Consider the following 27,838-nt stretch of genomic DNA (forward strand, 5'->3'; position numbering starts at 1 on the left):
AACTGAACACTGTGGTTTGTTTCTTTCTCAGGCAATATGCTCTGGGGTGAGGATGCTGAGCAACAGTGTGATATAATTCTGTAAGGAACAATCTTCACATTGTGAGTCTTTATTCAACAATCAATGAAAGACCAACAAAAATAGGGTCATCCTACTTCAGCTGAAACGTGTTAGCAACTAGGAAAAAGGAGAAAGTTTATTCAGAAGACATGAACTTGAAGGTTTACATGCCACTCTGAAGACCATGCCCAATTGAAATCTTGCACTCAGAAATTCACTCACTGGTAACTTTCTAATATTTGTCCTCGTAGGCTTGTTGAGACCCTGGGTCACCAACAAAGTACTCAATATTTTTGTAATTTTCCTTAATCTGAGCAGATGGCATATGTCTGTTTCAACAAACTGAATAGTCCAAAAGATATCAACTCCCCCAATGCTCTTTCTTTGAGTCTCAAGTAATACAGAAACATGCCTGCATCTCTTCTAACCTAAAAACAAACCAACAACAAAATTAAGCCTGACACACCCACCCTCCCCAGCTATGCTTCAGACTTCTCTTTCCCTTAGTGGCTAAACTCCTTGAAAGAGTGAAATATTCCCAATCCCTCTCTATGCACCTGCTCATTCACTCTTCCATTTAGCCATGTCTGGATTCCTGATCCCCACTCTACTCAAACTTCACTTTCAAAGGTGATCAGTGGCCTTTCTCGTTGCTAAATCCAAAGGCATCTTCTCTTCTCTATGGCAAACAGCTCCACTGTCCCTCTGAAAAGCCTCCCTCTGCTGTCTTTCCTGCCACTTGATTATCTGTTCTTTTGCAAACCTCTTTCACTGGTCCTTTTATAACATCCAGCATTTTCATATAGTCCTTCTCAAGGATCTCCCTCTCTCTCATTTTCTCCTCCTTCTACTTTATATCATGGTCCTTTGTCCTGCATCAGAATCACCTGGGGAGCGCTTAAGCCATCCTGATGCCTGGGGCCCCACCTTCAATGGTTCTTATTTAATTGGGCAGACAAAGGGCCCAAGAATCAGTGTAAAAACTCCTCAGGTGACCTCAATGTGCAGCCAGGTTTGAGAATGAGATATGCACTGGTTGAGTGACTTTATTCACTCTCAAGGCTGACAACTCACAAATCGTTATCTTCAGTCCCAACTTTTCTTAAGCTCTATTCATACTTCCAATTACTTTTTAGATAATTCCATCTGGATGCTCAACAAATACAAAAAAAACATAATAAGTGCTGAATATGATGTGATCGATTCACACTGCAATAGGTGTGAATCCATCACAATATCTCCTCACATTGGCCTTCTCTCTATAAACTTTGTCCTCCAGTCTTATTCTTCTTCAATAATAAAATCATTAATGGATGCTGGAGTTGAATTTCTCTTTTCCATTCAAAAATTTCTAAAAATTTTCATTATTTATGAAGTGTGTATAAATAATAACACACAACACAATGAAATGTGCTTTCTCTACTTTTAGAAAATTGATGAGATGGATGTGACACTTTTTAAATGAATGACTTCTCCCCAAATACATATTTGCCTGGGGTTTATCTGATTAGCTTATGAAAATTATCAAATGAGATCACACAGACAATTTGTGTCATTATAATGAACCAAATTTTGAAAACATACAGTCAAAAAAACTTTTTTTTGTTATAAGGAAAACAGTGCTTTGGAGTCAGGCAGAGTTGGCTTTGAATCCCAGCCCTCCCACTAATTGAGCTTGCAGCCTTGCGCAGGCTATAAGCTCCCAGAATCATAATCTTCACCTGTACAAATGGAGGGTGCATCCCTCCTGGGGTTGTAGGGGGATTTAAATGAGATACGAAAAGAAAGCACCTGGAATTAGGAGACAGTCAATAAGTGTAATTTAATTGCCTCTTCCCTAGAACTAACTTGACCCTACACAAAGCTATACCTACCTAAATGTATTTTAAACAATGATGATTCAGTGCCTCTTAGTGTCTCTATTAAGAAGTACATGTACATATCTTCAAATTCATAATACCAAATTAATAATATCTTCCAAAAAAACACCTGAAAGAAATCTGACTTTCAATTTACCACTGCACAGGACTATAGGTAGTGGTTTATGAGTCTTCATACATAAAACACTCCCAGTGAGGAAAGTGTCGTCTTATTTACAGCCTCAATCCCTGCTAGTGTATGTACAGAAGAGATGTCATATCTCTAGCCTTTCTACATGGGGACCAATTCCAGCTCTTGCAGTAGAAGGAGAAAGTGTTTAGAAATCCCTCCAACAGTGAGGTCATTCAATTCTACTGACGCCTTCAGTCTGGTACAGTGTTCTCAAAATACTAACATGATTTTATTAACGAATATGAATGATTCCTAATTTGATTACAATTTTTAGGACTAGAGCATATTGACAGTATATGGTATGTTCCCAGAAAAGGTGTATAAAACTGCCATCCCTACTTGTGTGCAGTGTGATTTAAGGAGCAACTTTTTATAGCTCCTAGACTCATGGTTTTATAGTTTCGCTGTTACTGCTATTTTATAATAGTCAGAACCATTGGCTGCCTAAGTCCTGTCAGGGAAAGAGAAGTTTTGTAGCAAAACAAGGAGATCATTTTTCAATGGCTCAGGCTTCCATAATTTCTTTTGAGTAGCAACTCCAGCATTCAGCAACCCTCACATTTCAAAAATGCTCTGTTACCTCTTTCCTAAATACTTTATTCTTCAGTTTAAATTTTTATTTATTTACAGTATCAGCAAAGACAGAGAAATATGGATTAAATTTTCCAGTGGATTATCCATTTATAGCTGGTCACTAAATATGGGATAAGTTATAATCCAGTTTTATCTTGACTTTCCGTAGTCATTTTCTCACTTCCATTCACTCCCCTCTCATCTTTATTATTAAACATGATAAAAATGAAGCTACCAAAGACAGATTCCAATGTTCTTGTATTTAGAGTGTATATAATGGGACCCCATTTAGATAAGACAGTTATTTTCCAAACAATACTTATTTCCAATAATTTTTCTCATGGTTTGCTATCAAAAGTTTTAGAATTATAACTATGCTCATGTTTTACTATTAAAAAACAGAAGACAAATATCTGGGGCAAAGTGATATAATTTTAAAAAAGGACAACTATGGCCTCTCCCTCAGTGCTGCATTCTTCACAATGCCCTGGGCAGAAGGAATGTGTCCCAGGGTGATTCATATATTTGGGGGTTTCCTGGAATGTCTGACACTAGGAGTAGTAATCATAGCTATTTTCCAATATATTTAATGTATTTTCTGAGTTGTTCCTTTTTAAAATAAGCAAATTAGTGTCACAGTAAGAAAAAAATTTATAATCTGACATTCAAGTCTTATTTTCTGTTTCTAACAAGAGGGAGAATATATTTGTAATCACAATAATATAGACATTATGATAAGAAAGGATGATGTTGCACCTTTAGATGATACAAATACATAGCTGAATATCATTAAGCATTTAGGAATGTGAGCCATAGTCGGCAGAAGGTATAGACTTTTAATTCCAAATGAAACAAAAAGCTTTATCTTCTGATACACTTTGACTATCTTCAAGAAGACTAATGTGTTGATTTTATAAGTGTCTTCCTTATACTTTTAGAATCAATACAAGCAGGCACTGCTTATATTATGAAATAATTGGACTATAACCCCATCTCTTTCTAAAGCCTTGCCAAGTATGGGATGCAAATGCCAGTAAATAACAATACAAAAAAAAAATCATTTTTTCCCCATCAATCAGAATGCTCCAAAGTTCATATATCATGGAAACATATAAGTAGAAATTATAACAAATTATAATCTGATTCTGATTTACATGTTTATAACACCTTCAATATGATCCTGTAGGCTGAATTTTGTGATTTTTTTTTTTTTTTTTTGAGACGGAGTTCTGCTCTGTAACCCAGGCTGGAGTGCAGTGGCGCGATCTCGGCTCACTGCAAGCTCCGCCTCCCAGGTTCACGCCATTCTTCTGCCTCAGCCTCCGGAGTAGCTGGGACTACAGGCGCCCGCCACCGCGCCCGGTTAATTTTTTGCATTTTTTTTAGTAGAGACGGGGTTTCACCGTGGTCTCGATCTCCTGACCTCGTGATCCACCCGCTCGGCCTCCCAAGGTGCTGGGATTACAGGCGTGAGCCACCGCGCCCGGCCTGTGATTTCTTTTAGTGTAACCTTTTACATAAAGTTGACTTTTTAAGGGTTTCAAATACCTAAGAACTTGTTTATTTCTTTAGTTCAGGATAAATAAACAACATCCCTGCATTTTACCAAAAGGGCAATGTAATGTTTTGTTGTTGTTAAAAAGGAAGGAAAGACCAATTAAATTCTTTGCAGAGATACTTCAGAGATAGGTGGACTTTGGTCAGGACCATGCTAACAATGAGAGGTTCTCAGCTCCAAAAACCACTTTTGGCATCCTTTGCCCTTCTGATACACAAACTTGTTAACCCTATGATTGGTTAAGGAATTGTCTAATCATATATGTCAATAATAGAGAGCAAAACATCTTGCAGTTTTCTTATTATACTCTCCTGTGAAAGACAGATGTGTTGTGTCTAATTATTCACTGATTGGTATCGGGAGAAACGTTAACATAATTGGCACATTTGTTCTAATTAACAGAGGGAAACTGCCACATGCCACCCAACATGAAAAGTGAGTCCAGCAAGCATTAGCTAGAAAACTCCACGTCTATCAGAAAGGTTACTCTGTTAAACTCATACTGAGGCCCATCAAGTCAGAGCACAGGTTGAAAATGATATAGCAGAGTTGAGAACTGTGTGCACACCTAAAAGAATGGAGATTTAGCCTAGAATCCTTGTCTATAGGTACATTAATCAAACAAATGGGAAAAGCAATTATGGGGCTATTATCAAATGTACACTCAGCCAAGCCAAGCTTCTCCAAGGAGCATTAGCTAGTAGCTGGGAATCTGCCAAGTTTTACTGACTGGTTTGGAAGTGACAAATCTGACGTTTTTGTGTATTTGTTTGTTTTAACTTTGTCCTTTACACCAGAGCTTTTCAAACTGCATTTTAGAATCACATGGAGAGCTTTAAAAAATCTCGATAACCTGGCTATATATCATGTCTATTAAATCAGAATCTCTGGGTGGGATATAAGCATTGGTAGATTCTAACAATTCCCAGGTGATTCCACTGTGCCTCCACTTCTGAGAACCAGTACTGCAGAGTGGTTTTGTTTGTTTGTTTGTTTTCTGAGACAGGGTCTTGCTCTGTTACCCCAGCTGGAGTGCAGTGGTGTGATGACGGCTCACTGCAGCTGTGGCTTCGACCTCCCAGGCTCGAGTGATCCTGCCACCTCAGTTCCTGGAGTAGCACACACCGCCATGCCTGGCTAATTTTTATTTTTTTATTTTTTGTAGAGTTGGGGTTCTCTTACATTGCCCAGGCTGGTCTTGAACTCCTAGGCTCGAGTGATCCTACTGCCTTGGCCTCCCAAACTGCTGAGATTACAGTTATGAGCCACTGTGCCTGGTGAAGACTGGTTTGATGATCTTGCTAAGATTTTCATTAAGAGTTCTGGGTCTGAGATTCTAAGCTCCTAGATCGTGTTGATGTAGATAATCTATGTACCACAGTTAGAATAGCAAGGCCTTGACAATTTTTTTTTTTTTTAAATGAGACCGAGTTTCACTCTTGTTGCCCAGGCTGGAGTACAATGGTGCAATCTCAGCTCACTGCAACCTCTGCCTCCTGGGTTCAAGTGATTCTCCTGCCTCAGCCTCCCAAGTAGCTAGGATTACAGGCATGCACCACCACGCCCGGCTAATTTTGTATTTTTTTTAGTAGAGATGAGATTTCACCATGTTGGTCAGGCTGGTCTCAAACTTTTGATCTCAGGTGATCCACCTGCCTCAGGCTCCCAAAGTGCTGGGATTACAGGTGTGAGCCCCCGTACCTGGCCAAAGCCTTGACAATTCTAAAAGACATTGATAGCTAATACTCTTCTGTAGACTTTCACAGGTAGGTTTGGCTCTAATTGCTCCGGAGTTTGAAGTCCTACTATTATTTTCTTATTTCTCCCACTGGTGAAAGGTATCTCACCTTCCCTTGTAGGTGCTTTAAACAATCAAAAAAGTTCTCTACTGTGGATAATTATGCTGGATGTTCTCTCTTGCTAAAAACCAGAGGCTACTTTGTAGATTTTTGCTTCTCAGTTTTGGAAAAAAACAAGTATCCATTCACTTCTGTGTTGACCACTGTGAAATATACTTTGCACCTTTCAGTAGGTTTGTGCAAGTCTGGGTATTTTTGTGCTTTAAAAAAAATGTTGGTCTTTAAGCAAGCTGAAATTATATCTTTAGACAATGGTAAAAAATATAGCCAAAGGATAAAAATACCAAGTGGAAACTAGTGGCATTTTGCTCAGTTGTTGTTACTTCTGTAAAGGAAAGGCATTTGCCAAGAAAGGGAATTTGTTTTCCTGCTGGGGAAACACTCTCTTAATTGCACATATGTCTAGCTTATTGCTTTTGAGGGTTGAACATACATAGGCCATATTGCAGAGGTGAACTTGTCTTGAAATCTGAAAACTTCTAAAACCTAAGTTCAACTATGAGGAGATAAAAGCATGATGACAAATGAACTAATACCAACAACAACCAAATAAAATAAAATAACCAAAACCTAAAGTAAAATGACTATATGTAATAACACCATCCAAGGGAACAAAATGTCATTGAAGTGTCCGTAAAAGGCTAACTTTTACAGGGCAAAAGGGCAACAAATTGACTAATCTGTAGCTAGTTCCTAACCAGTTTTTACTATAAACTTGCCTTTCAGGATAAGTAACTCTCAGCCTTTCTTCTTATTTACCAGTTAAAAGTGTTCAGGTCTATAGCTAAGTCTGACCATCTGTAGAAAAATACATGCTTTTTGCTCTCTCTGACTCCATAATGAGTTTATGATAGTGTGTGTAGGCATATAAAAATTATTGGAAGAAATCCCAAAGCAAGGGAACTTATTGAAGAAAAACCTTTTTTGAACAAATGAAGGCCAACAAAAATTTTTGAAAACCCTCCTGCTCTGTGACTATGGGCACAGGTTAGGTCTTTGCCTGCTGCTGAATCTCTACTGAGATAGAGACCGTGCTCGAACACAGCTGAGGTTTATTTTTTATTTATTTTTTTTTTTTTGAGACGGAGTCTCGCTCTGTCGCCCAGGCTGGAGTGCAGTGGCGCGATCTCGGCTCACTGCAAGCTCCGCCTCCTGGGTTCACGCCATTCTCCTGCCTCAGCCTCCCGCGTAGCTGGGACTACAGGCGCCCGCCACCACGCCCGGCTAATTTTTTTGTGTTTTTTAGTAGAGACGGGGTTTCACTGTGTTAGCCAGGATGGTCTCGATCTCCTGACCTCGTGATCCGCCCGCCTCGGCCTACCAAAGTGCTGGGATTACAGGCGTGAGCCACCGCGCCCGGCCACAGCTGAGGTTTATTAACCATTGATCTTAGGTCATCTGAATAAAGCTCATTCTGGTGGGTCTGCTGAACTTCCACATGGAACATTTCAGTTTCTTCTGAAAGACTAAATATTTTCTAGATTTTCATCATTAAATAAACCCATAAAGGTGTCCCTAAATCCATTCTTGCACTTCTAAAATCTATTTTCCATGCAGCAACCAGAATGATCTTTTAAAGGTGAATGTCAGGTCTCGACAATTCCTTAATGTCTCCATTGGCTTTTCAGGCATTTAAAGAAAACTCCAAATCACTTACCGTCTCTGCAAGTCTGCGCCCTCGTTCCCTCTTTCCTGACTGAATGTCGTCCTGCCTTCCTCCTTGCTCACTGGGTCTCAGACACACTGGCCTCCTTTTTAACCCTGTAACCAATCACCTCCTCCTGAGGGTACTTGTCCTTGTTGCTCCCATCACCTGGAGCTTTCTTACTCAGATCTTTTCAAGACTAGCTCCTTCCTTACCTTCAGATCTCAGCTCCATTACTGTCTCTTCAATAGACTTTCCTTGAATTCTAAAGTCATCCGCAATCCCCAACAACCATCACCCTCTCTCATATGACCTTGTGTAATTTCCTTTAACTTGTAATTATCTGAAAATATCTCACTCATTTTTCTTACATTCTTGCTTATTGTTTTTCTCCTCGAGGGACTTAACTGACTCGTATTTCCTACAACCAGAAAAATGTCTGGCATACCATGCATCTGCAGTAAATCTTTCTTATATAAGTGAATTGATGATTTTTAGAAATCTGCATTTTATACTATAGGCTTAAAGCAACCACTAAGTACATGCAAAAATCAAGCCACAGATGTATAATAAGTCAGATAAAATCTGTTATTTCTTTTGCTTTAAAATGCATGTTTATGTTGCTTAAACTTATTGCAATTTTAATTTGGCTTACAGTGTTTCTGGGCTTGTGGTGATCTCTGTGTGTAACTATTAGAGGCAGATATCAGAAAAAAATATGGGATTTTTCCCATACTTTTTCACCCCAAAAAGTATGGGATGATCATAATAAGGAGGTGACTTTGGCGAATGTTGATTGGACCAAAGCAAAGCTTGAAGGCTGACTGCTAGTAAGGGAACCTAATACTTTTGAAAACCCGTCTTCAAGGCTGAGAATCATATCATAACCAAAACTCTGTCTTGTAGCTACACACGTGGTAGCAGAAAATTCCAATGGGTAATTACTGGGCACTGAAAGCAACATCTCCCTCCAAACCAGTATTCAGATTCTTCTTTCCTCTCTAAACTCTTTTGCCTGAAAAGAGTGTAAAGCACCACTCTGGAGACAATATAGCTGCATGGAAATTCATCAATATGAAGTTCCTATTATGGAAGAATGGCAAGGAAACGTGAAGGACTCATGAAACAAAGTGTTCAGCAGCCATATGAATAATCAATTAGATGGAGAGCCACCTGATGCTGCACATTTGGCGGAGCCTCCAGCTGCCACCAGTTTTCTGCCCTGTCAGTATCAGCTTAAAAAAATCTGTTCCCTGTTTATCACGACTATACTCAGTAAAATAATCTATTCTTTTGCACCTCACCCCATATTTTCCTACTTGCTAATTAGAGATGCAAATGTTGATAAATAAGATGACAGTTTCTAAGCACAACTGGGTCAATAAGTTGAACATTGTGCCCTGTTCCTCCAATTAAACTCCTATGAGAAATAGCTCAATTATAATTAGAGAAGCAATTATCCCCTTGTTAAAGGTGAAAGAAATCACAGGTTTTAGAGAAAAATTCAGCTTTGCTCCTTCTGCCATGCCAACAAATCTTGTATCCATTGATGTTTTGATCCTAGTACTCTCCAAAAGAGATAATCTGATAAAGCATCTCGGAATATATTTCTGGCTCTCCATGTGACAGTAACATTTTCTAGGCATAAAATAAAATGAGCAAAGAGGATTAATTTCATAGAGTGCTGCTATTATGCTAGTGGAATAACCCAGCACCAGTTCCATGGGTGTATTAATTTTCTTGCTTCTTCAGGGAGATGGGGGGAAGGTTTATCTGTTGAAAGAAAGGCAAATGCCTCACCAGAAATGGAAGAAAACAATCACATTTTTGGCTTGATCCTAACAAAAGTGTTATTAAAGGAAACACTGAGCTATATCATTTTAGAGTATTCCTGGGATTTGTTTTTCTTTCTTTCACCTGGTTTACTTGAAAATTTATATATTATTATTGACACCTCCCTTATAGTCCTGGAACTCAAGTGTCTCCCACTCCCAGTGGCCTTGGTTCCTGGTCCTAGTGGTTTGGAACCTTGCCCTCAGGGTTCAGACTGATGGAGTCTGTCATCCCACACCAAGATCTCTCAATAGGATTGCATCTTCAGGGACGAGAAACACCCTTTTTCTAGAGCTTTCCATCTCCTGAGGTGCTGCCTCCATGTCACATCCAGCAGGGCCTCTTTCTGTCATTTAGTTAAATATACTTAGAGAATCTGCTAAGTGACTTATAACCTGCTGGCATTAGAGATAAAACATGAACAAAAAACTTTTTGCTTCTTATTTCATCATGAGCTTGTCAGGCAAGAAGAAGAGTAAACAGATAAATTTCAATACAATCGGTAGGCAGAGCTATATAAAATTGTGGCATGTGGGGGCTGCAATTTAGCCAGGTACACTGGTTCATCCATGCCAGGTATTCGATGTGGAAACAGTTCTGTATCTGTTGCTAAATTACTGAGTGTCCCTCACCCGCAGGCCCTGGCTGGCTCCCTGGGATTTCTGGATACCCTGTGACCCGGTGGCTAAAGGGTTATATCTGATAGAGCGCTAGGCCCCCAAGAGTCTGCTCTCGTGCTAAGGAAGCCATGCAGTTATTAAATCTTTGGAATAAAGTCCCCAGATATAAAGAAAGGACTTTAGGGAGAACAGACGAAGGAGCAGGCAAGTCTAGAGTTCTGAAACTCTTGTGCTTCAGCCCTAGGGTCCCCTGTTTTCTTATTGGAAAGGGCTTAAAGAAGTATAAGGAGTCCTCGGTTGGCCTCTTCCTCCTCTGAGACTTACTTTGTCACACTCTTTCCCTGGGCCCTGAAAAGAAGACCTACAAAGAGTAGCCTCAGGCTAAATTTCCTCTTTGGGAGAAAATATAAGGGCTGGTCTAGTGTCCTGAGTTGATAAGGACTGAATGAACAATAGTAGCTTTAAAGATCAGGGTAAGGGGCCAGGCGTGGTAGCTCACACCTGTAATCCCAGCACTTTGAGAGGCTGAGGCAAGCAGATCACTTAAGGCATGGAGTTTGAGATCGGCCTGGCCAACATAGTGAAACCCCGTCTCTACTAAAAATACAAAAACTAGCCATGCGTGGTGATGTGCGCCTGTAATTCCAGCTACCCAGAAGGCTGAGGCATGAGAATTGCTTGAACCCGGGAGGTGGAGGTTGCAGTGAGCCAAGATCACGCCACTGCACTCCAGTCTGGATGACAGAGCAAGACTCCGTGTCAAACAAAACAAAACAAAACAAAACATCAGGGTAAGGGCAGCAGTACACCATGACTTGCTATAAATAGTTTCATTAACCAATTATTTGGTAGTGTTGTTGAAAGAGCATTTCCTTATTTTAAAGCTCACAATATTGTCTTCATTTGTAGCGTGTGTGGACTCCAGCCAAAGCAACTGACTAGAGAACATAGGAGAGAATCTTGGTGACAGAAGCTTCCCCTCTGCATACCCCACAGTGCCAAGAAGAGGGGCAAGGTACTCAGTAAGAATTTTGAATTTAAGAGGTTGAGTTTGGTCTTGTGTGAATTAAAAAATTATAATATAACAATAGTACCAATGTTTCTTGAGTGCTTTTGACATGTTCTAAGTGATTTGCATATATTATCTCATTTAAACCTCACAACCACATTCTGCAAAGACACTATTATTATCTCCCCTTTATAGTTGAGGATACTTTGGTTCACAGTATTTAAATACTTTGGCCAAAGTAAAAAATGGTGATGTTTGGGTTTGAACCTGGAATTCTGTAAGAAAATTAGAAAACATTCTATGGTGGAGACTATAGGATGCCAAAATAGGGAAGAAGTAAAATATTATTACCTTAGAAATGCCTATGCCATTATTTGTAGCCAAAGTGGTATATCAAAACTAAGACTAGAGTTCTTGAAAAACTTATTGATTTGGAGAGAAAAGGAATTACTGCTTCCTGACATTCTGCAAAGAATGTACCTGACTACTTCCTCAATAGAACTAGCCATATGCTTATACAACAAAGATCAATTGAAACAATCAGCCATATGTTCATTGAACATATTTTGCCTGACTCTTTCTTGGAATCATTTGCCTTGGAGACAAAAGGAGCACAAATCCAGTCTGGCCTCATCTCCCAACGACTGATCTAATTATTACAAAACACATGAGTTTTACCTGCTGGTTTTCCTTTAAGATCAATATTTCACTTTATCCTATTTTTATGCTTAAAGATTCTTTAAACAAATAAATGAAATATTAAATAATGAATGCATTTATATTAGAAGGAAAATGGTCGTATAATCCTTTAACTCACTAAGTTACCTTTCATCCCTTTCTTTTTTAACGTATCTGCTCCTCTTGAGCAAATGGCAGTTGTAATATGTCATGTTAAGGTATTCATTAGTTTTCTGATCTTGGTGATTTTAATAGTGTTGAAAAGAATCTACACAGGAATTTATTAGCCTGCTCTTGAGCATGTATGTTTGATCTCTCTTCTGACTTTAAAAAATGAAAAAGAAATGCATATTAAATATAGTTCTTTGAATGTCAAATGGGTATATGATTTTTGAGCTTGCCAAGTTTTAATTGGTCTCTTCCCTAGTGATGATACAAATAGAATTCACAGCCAATTAGTTTGCAGTCATGAATCTTTACTCCTTGACAAAGTGAACTACTTTGTCAAGGAGACTGAAAAAAATGAAGAAATTACTAAGATCTCCCCCCACCTAAAGTCTTTGCAAGGATCAGTTACCTTTTAGAAGCCCTGAGCAAAAATGATGCCATGGATACCCATGTTGCTCATGATCTGTTTTGGGTTTTAAGGTGGTTTCATGGAGGAGGTGTGCATTAATATTTTAGAAATACCATTAAGAAGACATATGCACTATTGTCATTATCAAAATGAAATATTGAATAGAGAAGAGTTTTCTCCTTCCTAGTCGTATTAAATCATACTGTGTCTTAGTGCTGCGAGATAAGGTTTTGATGCTGTTGAATGAAATAGCTACTATCAAGCAAAATCTCTGATACAATTGGCATGAGATGCCAAATTAAGGCAAAAAAATAACTCTCTTTCAAAGTAAAAAAAAAGGAATTTCATTAAAATTTCCTTTGAGTTCTTTGCATTGACTCATAGAGATATGAATGGCTGTGATAGAAAAATGGGGTTATTTCATAAGGACTCTGCCTAAATTTTCAATTAATTATTATTATTACTATTAAAAGAACAATCAGATGTTTGAGCTTGTTGTCAGGGGACCAGCTAACTACCTGACCCCATCTTTACTTCTTGAAAAAAATGGAAAACTATGAGAAGTAAAATAGTAAGTACATTATTAATTATTAATTGCTTTATGGACTATGTTGAAAGTCTCATTAGTATTATTTTTCCGTTTCAGAGATAGGCACAACTTCAGGGCTTAATTTTTAAAAATTCATATACATTGAACCCATATATAGGTCCCAATTGCAACAACTGAAATATGCCTCTTTCAACACATGCAATAGAGAGTAAAACTTTCAAATGACTCAGTGTAGTTTGGAGGCCAACAAGGACCACCACCAAACTGGCAGCTATGCCACTTGTCAAATTAATGTGTGCTTGGACTTGTAGGACACGGGGTCAATTAGGGCAATAGTGTCAGATGCATATAAGGATGTCTCCTAATAATCATTTAAAGGGTAACCTGTTTTTAGAGTTTAGGATTTATTTGTTAACAAATGAAAGACACAGTATTAGTTTTCCTCAACAGTGTGATCTAAGATGATGGTGAGTGCTTGCAATCTCTTCTGGGTCACAGAGTCCTCTTCCCCAAAGAGAGATATTTTCAAAGGACATGGTATTGTGTGTTGCTAATGAAAAGTCATGGTATGCATCTGATTTGTAATACTTCATTAGCAACCAATAGGCTTTGTTCTAGCAGAAACAAAAAGTGGAAAATGTAGGACTTGATGGAAAGTTTATAGGATGAAACTAATTGACACCTTTTACTCCTAAAATGTGTTTTTATGCAAGGTGTGTGGGCATGGCTTTTAGGTATGTCTATGACTTCATCATGGAATGGAAAATACATATGTAAGGTGCACAGGCTCACAGACACAGAAAAACACACTCTCTTCTTACACTCACATTTTTCGCATATCAGCAAGAACAATAATAAAATTGATGGCACATTGTTAAGTCATACCATCTCTCTATGATAAGTGCCAGACAAAATAAAGCAGTATTTCTGATTTCTTGAAAGAGAATGACAAAACTAAACCAAGCTGCCTGTGGCTTTGTCCAATGGGGCATTCTAATTGACTCCCAAGTCATTAATCAGTTCCCAATCAATCTATTTTGCCAGCAGCAGGCAGTTAGGACTCTATTACCAACCATTCATCATGCCATACCCTAATTCACTGCACCATTAGCCATGGATTAGGCCTCTGTTAGAATAACTTAGTGCCAATTGCTAAATGCAAAGAATTGTTGTTATTCACCTCAGCCACTGGGATCCCTTCAGGTGGTCGACACTGGAGTAAGACTTCCTGTTCCAAAGACACTTCCTTTCCTAGGGGTTCCTGCTCAAATGTCTTCCGTAGATCTGGAACGTAAAAGTGACAAAATACATGTCAAAATTAAACAACATTTTCTCATTTACAGAGAGTACAAAAAATTTTCTGGCTTAGTATTTTATCTGTGCTTTTTTTTCTTTCTTTTTTCTTTTTTTTTTTGAGACAGGGTCTCACTCTGTGTCCCAGGCTGGAGTGCAGTGGTGTGATCACAGCTCACTGTAGTTTTGAACTCCTGGGCTCAAGCGATCCTCCTGCCTCAGCCTTCTGAGTGGCTGGGACTACAGGTGCATGCTAGCATGCTTGGCTATTTTTTTAAAAAAATTTTTTGTAGAGATAGAGTCTCACTATGTTTCCCAGGCTGGTCTCAAACTCCTGACTTCAAGTGATCCTCCCACCTCAGCCTCCCAAAGTGCTGGGTCTACAGGTGTGAGCCATGGTGCCTGGACTTGCATTTTTGTTTAACCACATGTTGTTAGCACTTTACTATAATCTGGTGACTATATTATGTGGAATAAATTGTGAAATTCAGAGGTTATGAACTGTTCCTACTTTAAACTTCAATGGAAGCCTTTGGCAGTCCTTATTTTAACAATTAATAAAGTTCATTAATTGCTTTTTGTTAGGATTTTTTGATCATCAATTATGATGATCACAGTTTTAAATCAAAAGAACCCCATTCTCTTGATTCTTATGCCTACAGATTCCCTTATGTATATACATATTTTCCTCTTTTCTCACAATGGATACTACTGAAGCTCCAGTAACTCTGGAATCTTTTGATTAATACTCTAAGTGAGTTTCCATTTCAAAGTGGAAAACAGAATGCTGGAATCTATAAGGAAGAAACATAACTTCTTCAGGTGTCTCAAGTACAAGGCAGAGAAAAGAGAATTGAGAACAGTCCCAAGATATCACTACATTTAATCATATGGCCATTCTTTAATTAGAAGACTAGTCATTTCTGCTCACATATCCCAGGCATCTAATTATGTATTTATATAGATATAGTTGATACAGGAGTATGCAGCTGAGTTTTACAAACTGTTGTTAGATGGGCACAAAAATGTTAGAAGCCAGTTTGTCATTTTAAACACATCAGAGGCACATACTTCAAGAGATAGGTTTAACTAAATCATCCCTGAATACCATATAATTATTTTGTTTTAATGGTTTGGCTTTAAACTCTATATACATTTAGTCTAATTTCTAAAGTTAGAAAATTAATTTAATCATAGAACTTTGAAGCAGCATTTTTTTAAAATGCCTACAAAAATTTTATTTCATGCATGTACAGTTCAGTTCCTTCCATTAAAGAGTTATTAGAATTTTACCCAGTGAATTTTAATAAAAAATTAATGCCTCTGTTCTGTTATCCCAGGTCCCTGATAAAGACATAAGAATCTGAAAGCAGCATTGCAGTGGATTGAACTAGCGAGTGGAAACCTGAAGACTCTAGAGCAGTGGTCCCTAACCTTTTTGACACTAGGGACTGGTTTCATGGCAGATAATTTTTCCACTGACTGCTGGGGCGGGGCATGGGGGGGATGGCTTTGGGATGAAACTGTTCCACCTCAGATCATCAGACATTAGTTTGATTCTCATAAGAAGTGTGCAACCTATATCCTTCGCATCTGTAGTTCACATAGGGTTCATGCTCCCGTGAGAATCTAATGCCACCACTGATCTGACAGGAGGCAGAGCTCAGGTGTTAATGCTCACTAGCCTGCTCACCTCCTGCTGTGCGACCAGCTCCTAACAGACCACGGACCAGTACCAGTTCTCAGCCCAGGGGTTGTGACCCCTGCTCGCAAGGTATATCCCTAATAGAGCTCTACCAGAAAGCACCTGGAAAAAAATGCACTGAGAAAGGACTGCATTGTTACACATTTGCCATATTGTTGAATTTCTCAGCAGAAGAAAACCCTCAAGATTATAAAGGTTGTGAGAAAATCATAGATCTATGAGGGTCTGAGGCAAGACAAGAGACCTCCAAATGTGATAGAATTTCTATCAGAAAAATGCTTCTAATTTGATTGTCAAGACATTGAATATATTGTAGAAATGAACATTTGGGGCCAGGCACAGTGGCTTATGCCTGTAATCCCAGTACTTTGGGAGGCCAAGGCAGGTGAATCACCTGAGGTCAGGAGTTTGAGACCAGCCTGGCCAACATGGTGAAACCCAGTCTCTACTAAAAATACAAAAATTAGCTTGGCATGGTGGCGTGGGCCTGTAGTCCTAGCTACTCGGGAAGCTGAGGCATAAGAATTGCTTGAACCCAGGAGGCGGAGGTTGCAGCGAGCCAAGATTGCACCACTGTACTCCAGCCTGGGTGAAAGAGTGAGACCCCATCTCAACAACAACAACAACAACAACAAGAAATGAACATTTGGAATCCACAGAGTTATCATAACTTTAAAGTTATCTAAACCATGTCATTATCTTACTTCCAAAAAACATGTTGACCAAATTACCTGGAGCCTCACAGCATAATAATCAATGGCTGCCTTAGAACCTGCTGATACGGATTTTCTACATTTTGCCACCCCACACATCCCCCGACATCTCTTTTGGTTAATTTGTACTCTTCCAATGGAAACATTAAGAATTTTCTCTTCTGATGTGGTGGCTTCTCTTGTTTTTTTGATCTGCACTGAGATAAAATTTGATGAAACACCAGATACCAATAAAAAGAGCAGCAGTGAATATCATTTATGAGCTTCAATGTTCTTGACAAAGTATATCTTGTTTGTAAAAAATGATTCTGAGAAACTTCTGCCTGATGTGGGGTTGGGCAAAGACATAATAACTGGAATGAGTTCTCAAATTAAATAACATAGTGACTCACTCTGATTTAAATTAATCAAGATATCACAAAATGAGGGCTAAGAACAAGAAAAAGTAAGGCATATATGTATTTAAATAGAGCAATTTCATTTAACATTTATTCATTGTCTCCATATGGTAGACATTTTATTAGGTACTTAGGATGAAGATGTACAAGACACAGAAAGAAGACTAGAAAGGTAAGCTGAGGTGTGCTTATGAAAAGCCTTTCTGTCATGCTATGGAAAGGCAAACCCTCAAAGGAGCAAGATCAGAGAACAAGGGTGTCCATCAGAGTGACTGATGGAGTGAGGCGGTGGTGAGGAGCCTGAAGTTAGTTAGGGACTCATTTGAATAAACCATGAGGGATGATGGGGTCCTGAACTCAGCTAGTGATAGAGGACAGGAAGAGGAGGAAGCAATTCTAGAAATAAATATATCATACCTTGAAGAAGATGTAGGTATTTGGAGAGCGCCAGAAGGCAAGGATAATGTTATATTCTCAGCTACTGCATTGTTAACTTGGTACAAACACTGAGTGGCATAGTATCAAGATGGGCAGGGAAGCAGAGAGAAAGATAAATTCATTTTGGTACATGTTAGGTTTGGCATATCTATGAAACATTCAAACTGAAAAGTATAGTAGTCTAGATCATGGTTCCTAAACCTCAACCCTTTTAATTTTGGGGACTGGGTAATTCTTTGCGGTACAGTTGTTCTTTGCATAGCAGGATACTTGGCAACATCCCTGGACTCTACCTGCTAGAGACCATTAGAACCCCATCCCAACCTTAACAAAATAAGTGCCTTCAGACAATGCCAAATGTCCCCTAAGGGGAAAAGTCACCCCCAGTTGAGAACCACAGGTCTAGGGCTTGGAAAAGAAGGCCTGGTAGGATTTCTTGTGCTTCACCAACTAGGCAATCGCTGAAGCACTGGAAACAGATGGCATCACCAGGGAGAGACTGCAGCATAAAAAAAAGAGGACAGTGACATTCAAGAGGAAAAGCTGTCATCCAATGATATAGAGTGAACAAAGCGGTAGGAGAAAACCCAAGGAAGTTAGCATCAGAGCAGCCAAGAGGAAAATAAAATTTTAAAAAATGGGGAGGTCAATAGGAGAAATGCAGTGAAGGACTCAGAAGTACTCATAGGAGAGAAGTCATTGGTCTGGGAAGTTTAGGAGTGACCGGGAGCAGAAACCAAGTTGTGATGAGGAGTGGCCAGGAAGTGGGGAAATGACCATTCTGGGTACTGTAGGGGCGGAGGGAAAAGTTCTCCTTAGCCCTCTGAAGGTTCACTGGAAAATCAACTAAGTCACAAAAGGCAGATTAATTGGAGAGAAGACAGACAAATTTTATTTAACATGTACACATGGGAGCCTTTGGAATGAAGACATAAAGATCCAGGGATAATTGTCCATTTTTATGCTTCCGTTCAACAAAGTCTGGACAGCCATGTAGAAATATGATTGGACAAAAAGAATCTGACCTAATGTTAACAGACTAAGTGGAGAGGCCCAGCAAGACTGTGGGTCTAGATTCTTCCTGGCCTCTCTGAGCATTCATTCCTTCCTTCATCTGGGTGTCAGGCAGGACCCTCTCTGGAATGGGGGTCTTATGACCTATGATCACACAAGGTAGGTTAGATAAATTTTTTATGGTCACTTTTTACACAAAATGGAGGATGGAAATTTAGAATAATATTTTTCAGTTTTGTGGCTGGTTTTGGACTAAGGGGGTTTCTATGACTCGCCTCGGGGGAAGAGGGATTGTCTTTTCCATGGCTGGTCTTGGGGAAGAATGGACTGAGAGACAGGAGGGCAGGAGAAGGTCAGAGAAAACTTTTGCTTCTGAGGCCTTCATTTTGGGGTATTGTTTTCTAAGTCCCAATGGTATCTACTACTCTTTTCCAAAATTTTAAGGTGACAGAAGTTAGTAGCACCATTAACGGGCAGTGGGTTTGAGTGCAGCATGCTGTAATTCTTCTTAGAATATGGTGCAATTTTTGGCACAGTTTTCTAATTCTTGCCATATAAAGGCACATTTTATGTAGGCCCTTATTTCCTAATTGAGAATGGCGACAGCTACAGGCATCTACTTCCAGAGACAGGTTTAACTAAACCATCACTGAATACCACAGAATTATTTTAAGGGTTTGGCTTTAAGCTCTATGTAAATTTTATCTAATTTCTAGAATGATCTCACATTTAACCCCCTACAAGGCAATACTTCTTCCTGAAAAACGCTTTTAATTCCTGCCGTAAAACCTCCTCTCTGGCTTTCAGATTGTGTAATGAGCATAGGATATATCGCGGCCGTGCAGCACAGAAGCCGCTCATTTCAGCATGCTGCCTCGCTACTCTGCGAAGGGAGGGTAGATAAGATTTTAAGCATATCTTTTATCATCTGGAGAGATGTGATAGAAGGCAGGCCAGTTGCCTTGCAGGCAGAGTGAACACAGGGGTGACGAATGAATAAGAATGAAAAACGAACACTTGTCAGCTGGGAATTAGATGTAAAACAGAATGGTTCAGAATAATGTGGCCATTCCTGTCAGAAAAAAAAGACGAAGTTCTGCCCTTGGAAGACCTTTAGGATTCTACATTCTGCTTTCTTTCCATTAGTTATAAGACTGCTACTAAAATTAAGTATGAAGTCCTTTCATTAATAACCTAGATTACTTTTGCAAAGTCAACTTGGCATGCATCTAATTTAGTCATTGATTCTGCCAATTAAAAGCTATCGTCATATGTATGCTTTCAGAGAGATGTTTACTTAAGAACATGAATATTGGCTTAATAAATCCATACACTGAAATCCAATTAGCAGATGTAGAATCAGACCTGAAACAATATAGATTTCTATTTTCCATTTATACATAACCAAAGAAAGTCCCTTTGGACACACACATGTGCATACAAAGTCTCATTTTTTGGGTGGTAGAATTTTGATGCTTTCAGTGATTTTTTTTTTGCACAATATACTGTGGCTACAAATTAGCTGTGATGCAGAATACATGATTCATGGCATTCTGCAAACATTAGCTCTGCTTTTTGACAAAAAAATGCAGTTAGCAGAAAAGAAGACTCACTGGGAGACAGATTTTCTGGCCTTCAGTTTCCATATTTACGAAATGAAAATGAATTACTAGATAATTCTGAAGGATGATTTTGCTGTAAGGACCTATTACTGAACAGACTGAGATTTTAAATACACATTTTAGGGGGGAAAAGCTTATCCTTTGTGGAGTAAGGTACTTCTTGGTTGCCATTATGTGTCCAAGAGAAATAATAGAAGAAATTATTTCAAAAGTCAAGGAGTTGACGCATCTTTGAAGACAACAGCTTATAATATTCTCCTCAGAACGACTTTCACAGAACTTTTTGGACACTTGGATCTACAGGTGTGAGTAAGAGTTAGAAACTAGGGAGAGAAGTGGGTTACAGAAATTTGGTATTTAAAAAAATTAGCAAATTCTTTGTATAAATCCTGGAGAGTAATATAATGTAATCCACAAAAGCAGATGAAAATTCAGGCCCTGATGATTGTAAATGCACTAAGAATTATTTTGACAAAACTAATTGTCTGTCTCCATGGGACAGAGAGGATAGGGGAGGAAAATGCCTATCCAAAACAGTGTGGAAGAAAGCCTGTCATGCCAATGTGCGTATTTACAAAAGGGGCAGAACATCCTGCCTCTTCCCAGTGCCATCTCTTGAGCAACTTTGCCTGTCACTGTCTGAAAAGGGTGAGTGTGACCTATAATAGGAAAGTGGAGGCTCTATTGTCATGGGTCATACTAACATCTCTCCACCTTTGAGCCCTGCTGATTTTAGAAGACTAGGAGAAAATATCAGCAAAAGCATCTCCCTGTGTTAGCTAAGCAGGCAGGTTGTGGATACTATTGCCTTGAAGAAGATAAGCATGTTTTATTCTAATTTAAAAATGATTTACATTTATTAAATATTTATTATCTCACCAAAGGTACTTCATTATGCAGAAAGATTTATTTATTAGAATAAAATATTTTTTTCTATCCATCGTTAAGCACATAATAACTTTTTTTAAGAAAACAAAATATTGGTGATGTGATAGACTGATATTATGAAGCAAGTAATTCTTCAATGGGTATACTTCAATAGACTATTCTAGTGGAAATCTAAATCCTTAAATTCCACAGAATGATAAGACATAAATGATATGTTACATTATTACTGTTGTTCTTTTTTTAGACTTCATCAGGTTTTGTGAATATTAAAATAGATATTGAATCTGAAAAGTTTGGAAAATTATAAAGCACAACGTATGTAATAAATTATTATAATTACATTTATTATTACTCAGAGAGTTCTGAAATGAAAGGTGATTACTCATCTGCATAAATTTTGTACACATAATTCTCACACACACTTTGGCCATAAGGTCCATAAACTATAGTATCTAATATTCCTTATTGTTCTTATGGAATTTCAGGTTTATTGCTGTTTTTCAAACTGAGTGTTATGACCCTTGAGAGGGTTACAACATCTATTCAGTGGATTAAAACCCAGCATTAAAAAGTGTGAAACTGAATGAACAGAAGTTATCAAGATATACATAGTCTTATAGATGTGTTTGTGTATATACACTCATATGTTTCTGTGTGTAAGGATGCGGGTATGTGTCTAGTGGATCATGATATCAACCTATTTTTTATTGTAAGTCAAAAAGGTCTGAAAACCACTGGGTAGGCTAACACTGTGGCTGAGAACAAGGTTTTGGCATACAAAACCCTGGGTTTAGGTCCTGACCCTACCACTTGACTATCCATTTGACCTTAAGCACATTGCTTAACCTCTTCCTGCCTTAGTTTCATCAGCTTATAAATGGGTATAATTTCACAGGGTTATATAGGAAAGGTCACCTATAAAATTCTAAGCACATGCCTAGCATATAGTAAGTGCCCAAAAGATAATAATCCCCCACTCTACTTTTTCCCCGAAGTATTAATAAATTTTATTAGGCTATACATCTACTGTTATCACTACTAATCAAAATAAACATAACCAAGTGAGACAAAGCAATTGGGAGGGCTAATAATTGAAGGTGATGTTTCATAAAGAGATATGCAGGTATTACCCTGCTGTGCTTGATTAAACTGCAGATTCCACACTCAGGTTGGGCCCTGGGAATCTACAGTTTTAACAAACTCCACAGGTGTGTTTTCTGCATAACACTAAAATCTGAGAAGCACTGGTTGATGAATTGATTCGTTGATTATGGAACACCAAGTTACGCATGGCACTGTGGGCACTGTAGGAGGCTGTGGGGAGCCATGCAGATCTGCTTCTGCACGGTGGCTCTAAATGCCTGCTTTACTGGGTCCGTGTTGGTGTGTCCACAGAGTCCCAGAGCTCACTTTTGTACCAGCTGATGGCTGACATTGTCTAGCACAGGACTTGAGTTTCATATGTCTCCAGGGGCCATTCAGGTAACAAATGGGAGAAAGCTAGGCATAAGATTTTTTTTCTTGAAACATGACACCTACCTGGGTTGTCTTTTGTTTCTAACTTTTAATGGAGATGTGGGTACAAAACCAATCAATCAGCTTCCTCTTTACTCTCGTTACTTAGCTCCGGCTGCATGGTGCCAATAGGAATGCAGGCTCAATGGGCCACAGACCCCAAATCTGATGACTAACAGAAGTTGGTAATATGGAGTTTTATGAGATTTTTTTTTCTAACTGTATATGTTGTCAGCTACTTAAAACTTTATCAAAATACTTGTGTGGGCCAACATTTTGAGGACTAAACCAAAAAAGTGGGATGCCATATTGCACCTGTGGACTGCTACTTTGAGACCAATGGTCCAGATAGTTCAATGCTGAAAGTGTCAAGTTACCTTAATGTTTCTTGTGGCCTCTCTCTCACCTCAAGAGAAAATCCCCAGAGCCTTTTGCTTCTGACTGTCAGACACTTAACCAAGAAAGCCAACAAGAGATGTTGGTGAGTAAAGCTGTTTTTGTTAGTAGGATTGCATACATAACATTTCATAAATTCATATTTTATAATTATTCACTTATACTCCTTTACCTACTTTCAGAAGGAATGTTAGGCCATAAATGTGGGCACTTCAGAAGATTAGCTGACATTTTTAATAAATGTAAACCAATAGCACCTGAGTTAGGAAAAGAAAAAGCTTCTTGATGGCTGAAAAGACACTTTGCAGTCATTTCTGTAATTCTTGATGATTACTTAGAATAAAAATGTCTCTACATTCTTTTCGGAACCAATGTTGTCATTTCTACAATTGCTTTGAAGAAAAACCTGAAGCTCTTTCAGGTATAGCAGGAAACAGTTAAGAGTGGTTATGATCTGAATTATTGTTCTTTAGAGTAGGAATGGCAAATATTTGGAACCACTACATTCCCTTCCAGCTCGTGTGTCTATACCTAACTGACCACGATATTCTTTTCTCCAGAGTCTGGATTTAGCTTCAGGATCTGCTCCAACACAGGACTCTGGGAGGCCACAGCGGAGCAGGGATTAACAGGCAAGATGCAATGAATCTGCATCCTCAGCCTAGAGTTCACTGCACAGAAACTCCTGATATGCAATGTGCCTGCACAGTTATGGCCATGTTTTTATCCGATATCATGTCACTGCTTAGTTTTACTTCAAAAAACAAACTTAATCCCAGCCTTGAATGCTACATATTAAAATTTAAAAAATACTTTGAGATCAAATAAATCTTGGTGCTTGGTGCTGGGTATATAGCAGTGCCTTAGTAAATGCTGAGTTAAATTCAGTTCCCAAAATAATCTGGCAATTCCCTTTACTGAAGGCCTGGAAACAATTTCCCTTATGATATATAACTATAAAATGTCTTACAAGTCACATAGTCCAACCCCCTCACTTTACAGATTATTTATTTATTTATTTATTTATTTATTTATTTTTTGAGAGGGAGTCTCGCTCTGTCACCCAGGCTGGAGTGCAGTGGCGCGACCTCTGCTCACTGAAAACTCTGCCTCCTGGTTTCACACCATTCTCCTGCCTCAGCCTCCCGAGTAGCTGGGACTACAGGCACCCGCCACCATGCCTGGCTAATTTTTTTGTATTTTTAGTAGAGACGGGGTTTCACCGTGCCAGCCAGGATGGTCTTGATCTCCTGACCTTGTGATCCGCCTGCCTCAGCCTCCCAAACTGCTGGGATTACAGGCGTGAGCCACCGTGCCCAGCACTTTACAGATTATATAACTAGAACTGTGAGAGGCTAACTCACTCATTCAAGCTCACCAGCTATTTAGAAGTGGATTACTCCATGATGTGAATTTGCTGGAAAATGGATGCCGCGTAGCAGCTGTATTTGTTTCCAGTGGAAATTTCCACAAACTTCCTGGCTTAAAACAACAGAAATATATTCACTTGTAGTTCTAAAGGCCAAATAATTGAAATCAGTTTCACTGAGCCATAATCAAAGGGACAGCAGGATTATGCGCTCCCTCTGGAGTTTCTTAGGGAGAGACCATGACTTGCCTCTCCCAGATTCCAGTGGCTGATGGCATTCCTTGGCTTGTGGCTACATCCCTCTAATCTCTACCTCTGTGGTTACACTGCATTCTCTTCTTCAATCTGTGTCAATCTCCCTTTGTCTTTCTCTTACAAGGCATTTGTGATGACCTTTAAAGCCCACCTGGGCAATGTCAGAAAATCTCTCCATCTCAAGATTCTTAACCAAATCTGCAAAGATCCTTTTTCCACATAAGGTTAATATTTACAAATTCCAGAGATTAGGACCTGATGCCTTTGGGGGTCATTATCTATCCTGCTGTGGTGGTTACAAGCATGGAGCCTGGATCTGCTCTGCCATAGTTTAATCCTAGTTCTGTACTTACTGAGGTTGCTATGTTTTCATTTCTTCATCCATAAAATGAAGATAATTCTATTACATATTGTATAGGATTACTGTGATGATTTTAAAAGGTAATATAAATAGCACACTTAGGACAGTGCAGTTACATAAAGAGTCCTCTGTCAATGTACTCATTTACATACCCACTTCCTCCAGCCCCTAAATCAGCATTGCTGTCAAGTGTTCACAGAGTTGATGGTTGTACTGATATTTATTTCTTTAAATTTTACTAAGAAGCCAAACTCCAAATATCAGAAATAAGCTTCTTGCTTCCCAAATTGAACTGGTCTTGACAAAAAGGCCCTCGATCTGTGGAAATTCTGTACTTAGAAGAGCTTCATGTTGTTATCTGCTGCTGGCCAGCTTACTCACTTTCTGACCTAGGCCTGACCCTGCATTAAGCAAATACAGCTGCTGTACTATGATTCACATTTTCATATTTTCAGGTGCTTTTCAGTTAATTCTTTTTACACACTCACTGAACAATGGTGTTGAACACATTCTAATATTTTTTTAAAAAAAGCTGTTTTAATATATTTTCAAAGTGCTCCTCTAGCAAATGATTTCATGGTCACTCAAAGTAATAATACTGTGTTCTTAAAGGGAAAAAAATGTATCTTTCTTCCAATAATGATGGAAAGTGCTAATTATGTTGTCATAGCAGACTAGAATTTATGCTTAAATCACCAAATCTGGCTGTTAACAGGAAATAACTGCTGTGAACCAAACAGTGAAGCATATTTTGGAAGAACTAGATTGGCCTTCAGAGCTTTGGGCATTTATTAAAAGTGAAAAATGCCTGACTTAATGCCATAGAGCCCTGAAATGTTAGCTATGGTTTTCTTTTCCAGGAATAGAGTATCTGATTTTTGCTGGAATTTTTAAAAATAAAGAAAAATATTATTATGCTAAGCAACTCTTATTGTGGTTTGTAAATATAAAGGTTATAGAATATTTTAAAAATTGAAGCTCGGTGCAGTGGCTCATACCTATAATCCCAGAACTTTGAGAGGCCAAGATTGGGGATCGCTTGAGGCCAGGGAGTTTGGAATCAACCTGAGCAACAAAGTGAGAACCCCCATCTCTACAAAAAATAGAAAAACTAGCAGAGTATGGTAGTAGGTATCTGTAGTCCCAGATACTAGGGAGGCTGAGGTGGGAGGATCGCTTGAGCCCAAGAAAGTTAAGGGTGCAGTGAACTATGCTCATGCCACTGCAGTCCAGTTTGGATGACAAGCAAGACCCTGTCTCTGAAAAAACAAATTAAAGAAATAAAAAGTTTGGTGGTGTTTTTTTTTTTTTAACTTATCTTTCCTTCTCAAATATTGTAAACAATAAAACAAACAAAAATCAACTATATGCAGTTCCCTCTATAGTTTGAAAAGTCAAGAATGGTTGTATGTTTTTTGCAACTGTGTGCAATGAACTGGACTGCAAAGAGAAAAGTTTGTTTAAAATTCAGATTCAGTGTTTCCTAAACAGGTGACATGGGCAAGTTAGCTAATATTTCCATGATTCTGTTTTGTTATTTACAAAATGAAGATAACAGAACTTACTTCATAGGATGTCGTATGAAGATTATGATAGTTAACATGAACAAGGGTCTTATAACAGAGTTAGGCATACAGTAAGCATATAATAAATGTTGGCTACTAGGACAGAGACTAAAGAAGAAAGAATAAGGACAATCGACTTTGATTTTTTTCCTGTTGTTTTATAACCGCATTTTGCTTTTGTAAGGGGTAAAGTTTTCGTTCTCTCTTAGGAATTTACCACAAACACTTTCATAATATCATAACTCATAACCAGGAAGAGCGGTTAGAATGATCTGCAGCAAGTCAGCAGAAAGGTAAGCTTGGTAATTTCTTCAGTCGTGCCAAGCCCTGGCTATCACTTACTGCACTGAGATCATTTAAATGAGAGAAATTCCAGGGAACAAAGACTCTTTAGAAGGGAGGACAATTTCAGCCATTCTTCGTTATTTCTTGACTTTTGGGCATTTATAGGACAAACACATTTGTATTCAGATAGTCTTGTTAAAGAGTTTTTTAAAAAAATAAATATTTCAGCTAGCACTCCAAATGACATCCACTACAGAAAAGAGGAAGAAAAAAAATCCATACAAGCCACTCTTTTATATTCAAAATGCATCTTTAGTTTCAGAAAAAAAATGATTATATGTCATCACAGTATTTTTTAAGGTATGTCTTAGGGATAAATAATAAGAAATATGCCAACTTTATGGATGAGGAAACTGACATACCAAAAAGCTAAGGCTCTTTTCTCAGAGTACAAAAAAAAGAATGCAATGATTGCAGACAAGCTGTTTTCTTGCAAATAAGCATTTTAGCCATAAACTTCACTTTTCATACAGCATAAAACATACTTTAATAACACATTTTTGTCCAGTGTGTTACCAGCCCTGCCTATAACATACGTATAGATGATTTCCCCCAAAATATGACTTATGAGACTGTGTTCTATGAATTCGTTGTCTACCTCTCAGAATAAATATGAGCTATAAATGCCTAAGAATTTGTGGGGCATCCATGAAACTTGGGAACTTCTGACCATCTACAAAAGCAAATATGTTTGAAAAAATATAGACTGACACAATCAGGTATACATTATAATATTTAATCTTGAAATAGGAATAACCTGATAATACAACTGTCAAGATTTATATAAAACAAGAGTATTAATTAATTTATTGTTTAAATATTTTTCCCTTATCTAAAAATGTCTAAAGTATATATTTAATCTTATCCAATTCAAAATATGGCCTCTGTTACTTATAATTGGATTAATGTGGGCTTTAATGGTTGTTATACAAGGTATCATACTACAA

At 38.4% G+C, this 27,838-nt stretch overlaps 1 protein-coding gene across 4 annotated transcripts in view; it reads right to left on the reverse strand.

Moving 5' to 3' along the window:
* Positions 1 to 27,838, reverse strand: part of UNC5C (unc-5 netrin receptor C) — a 386,470-nt gene that overhangs the window by 101,561 nt on the left and 257,071 nt on the right. For all 4 annotated transcript variants that reach the window (NM_003728.4, XM_005263321.4, XM_047416346.1 and 1 more), the window contains one exon: positions 14,195 to 14,298. In NM_003728.4, coding sequence (NP_003719.3) covers positions 14,195 to 14,298 — 104 coding nt within the window. The remainder of the gene's footprint in view (positions 1 to 14,194; positions 14,299 to 27,838) is intronic.

Source organism: Homo sapiens, chromosome 4 (genome assembly GCF_000001405.40).
Source record: "Homo sapiens chromosome 4, GRCh38.p14 Primary Assembly".
NCBI classification, from domain to species: domain Eukaryota; kingdom Metazoa; phylum Chordata; class Mammalia; order Primates; family Hominidae; genus Homo; species Homo sapiens.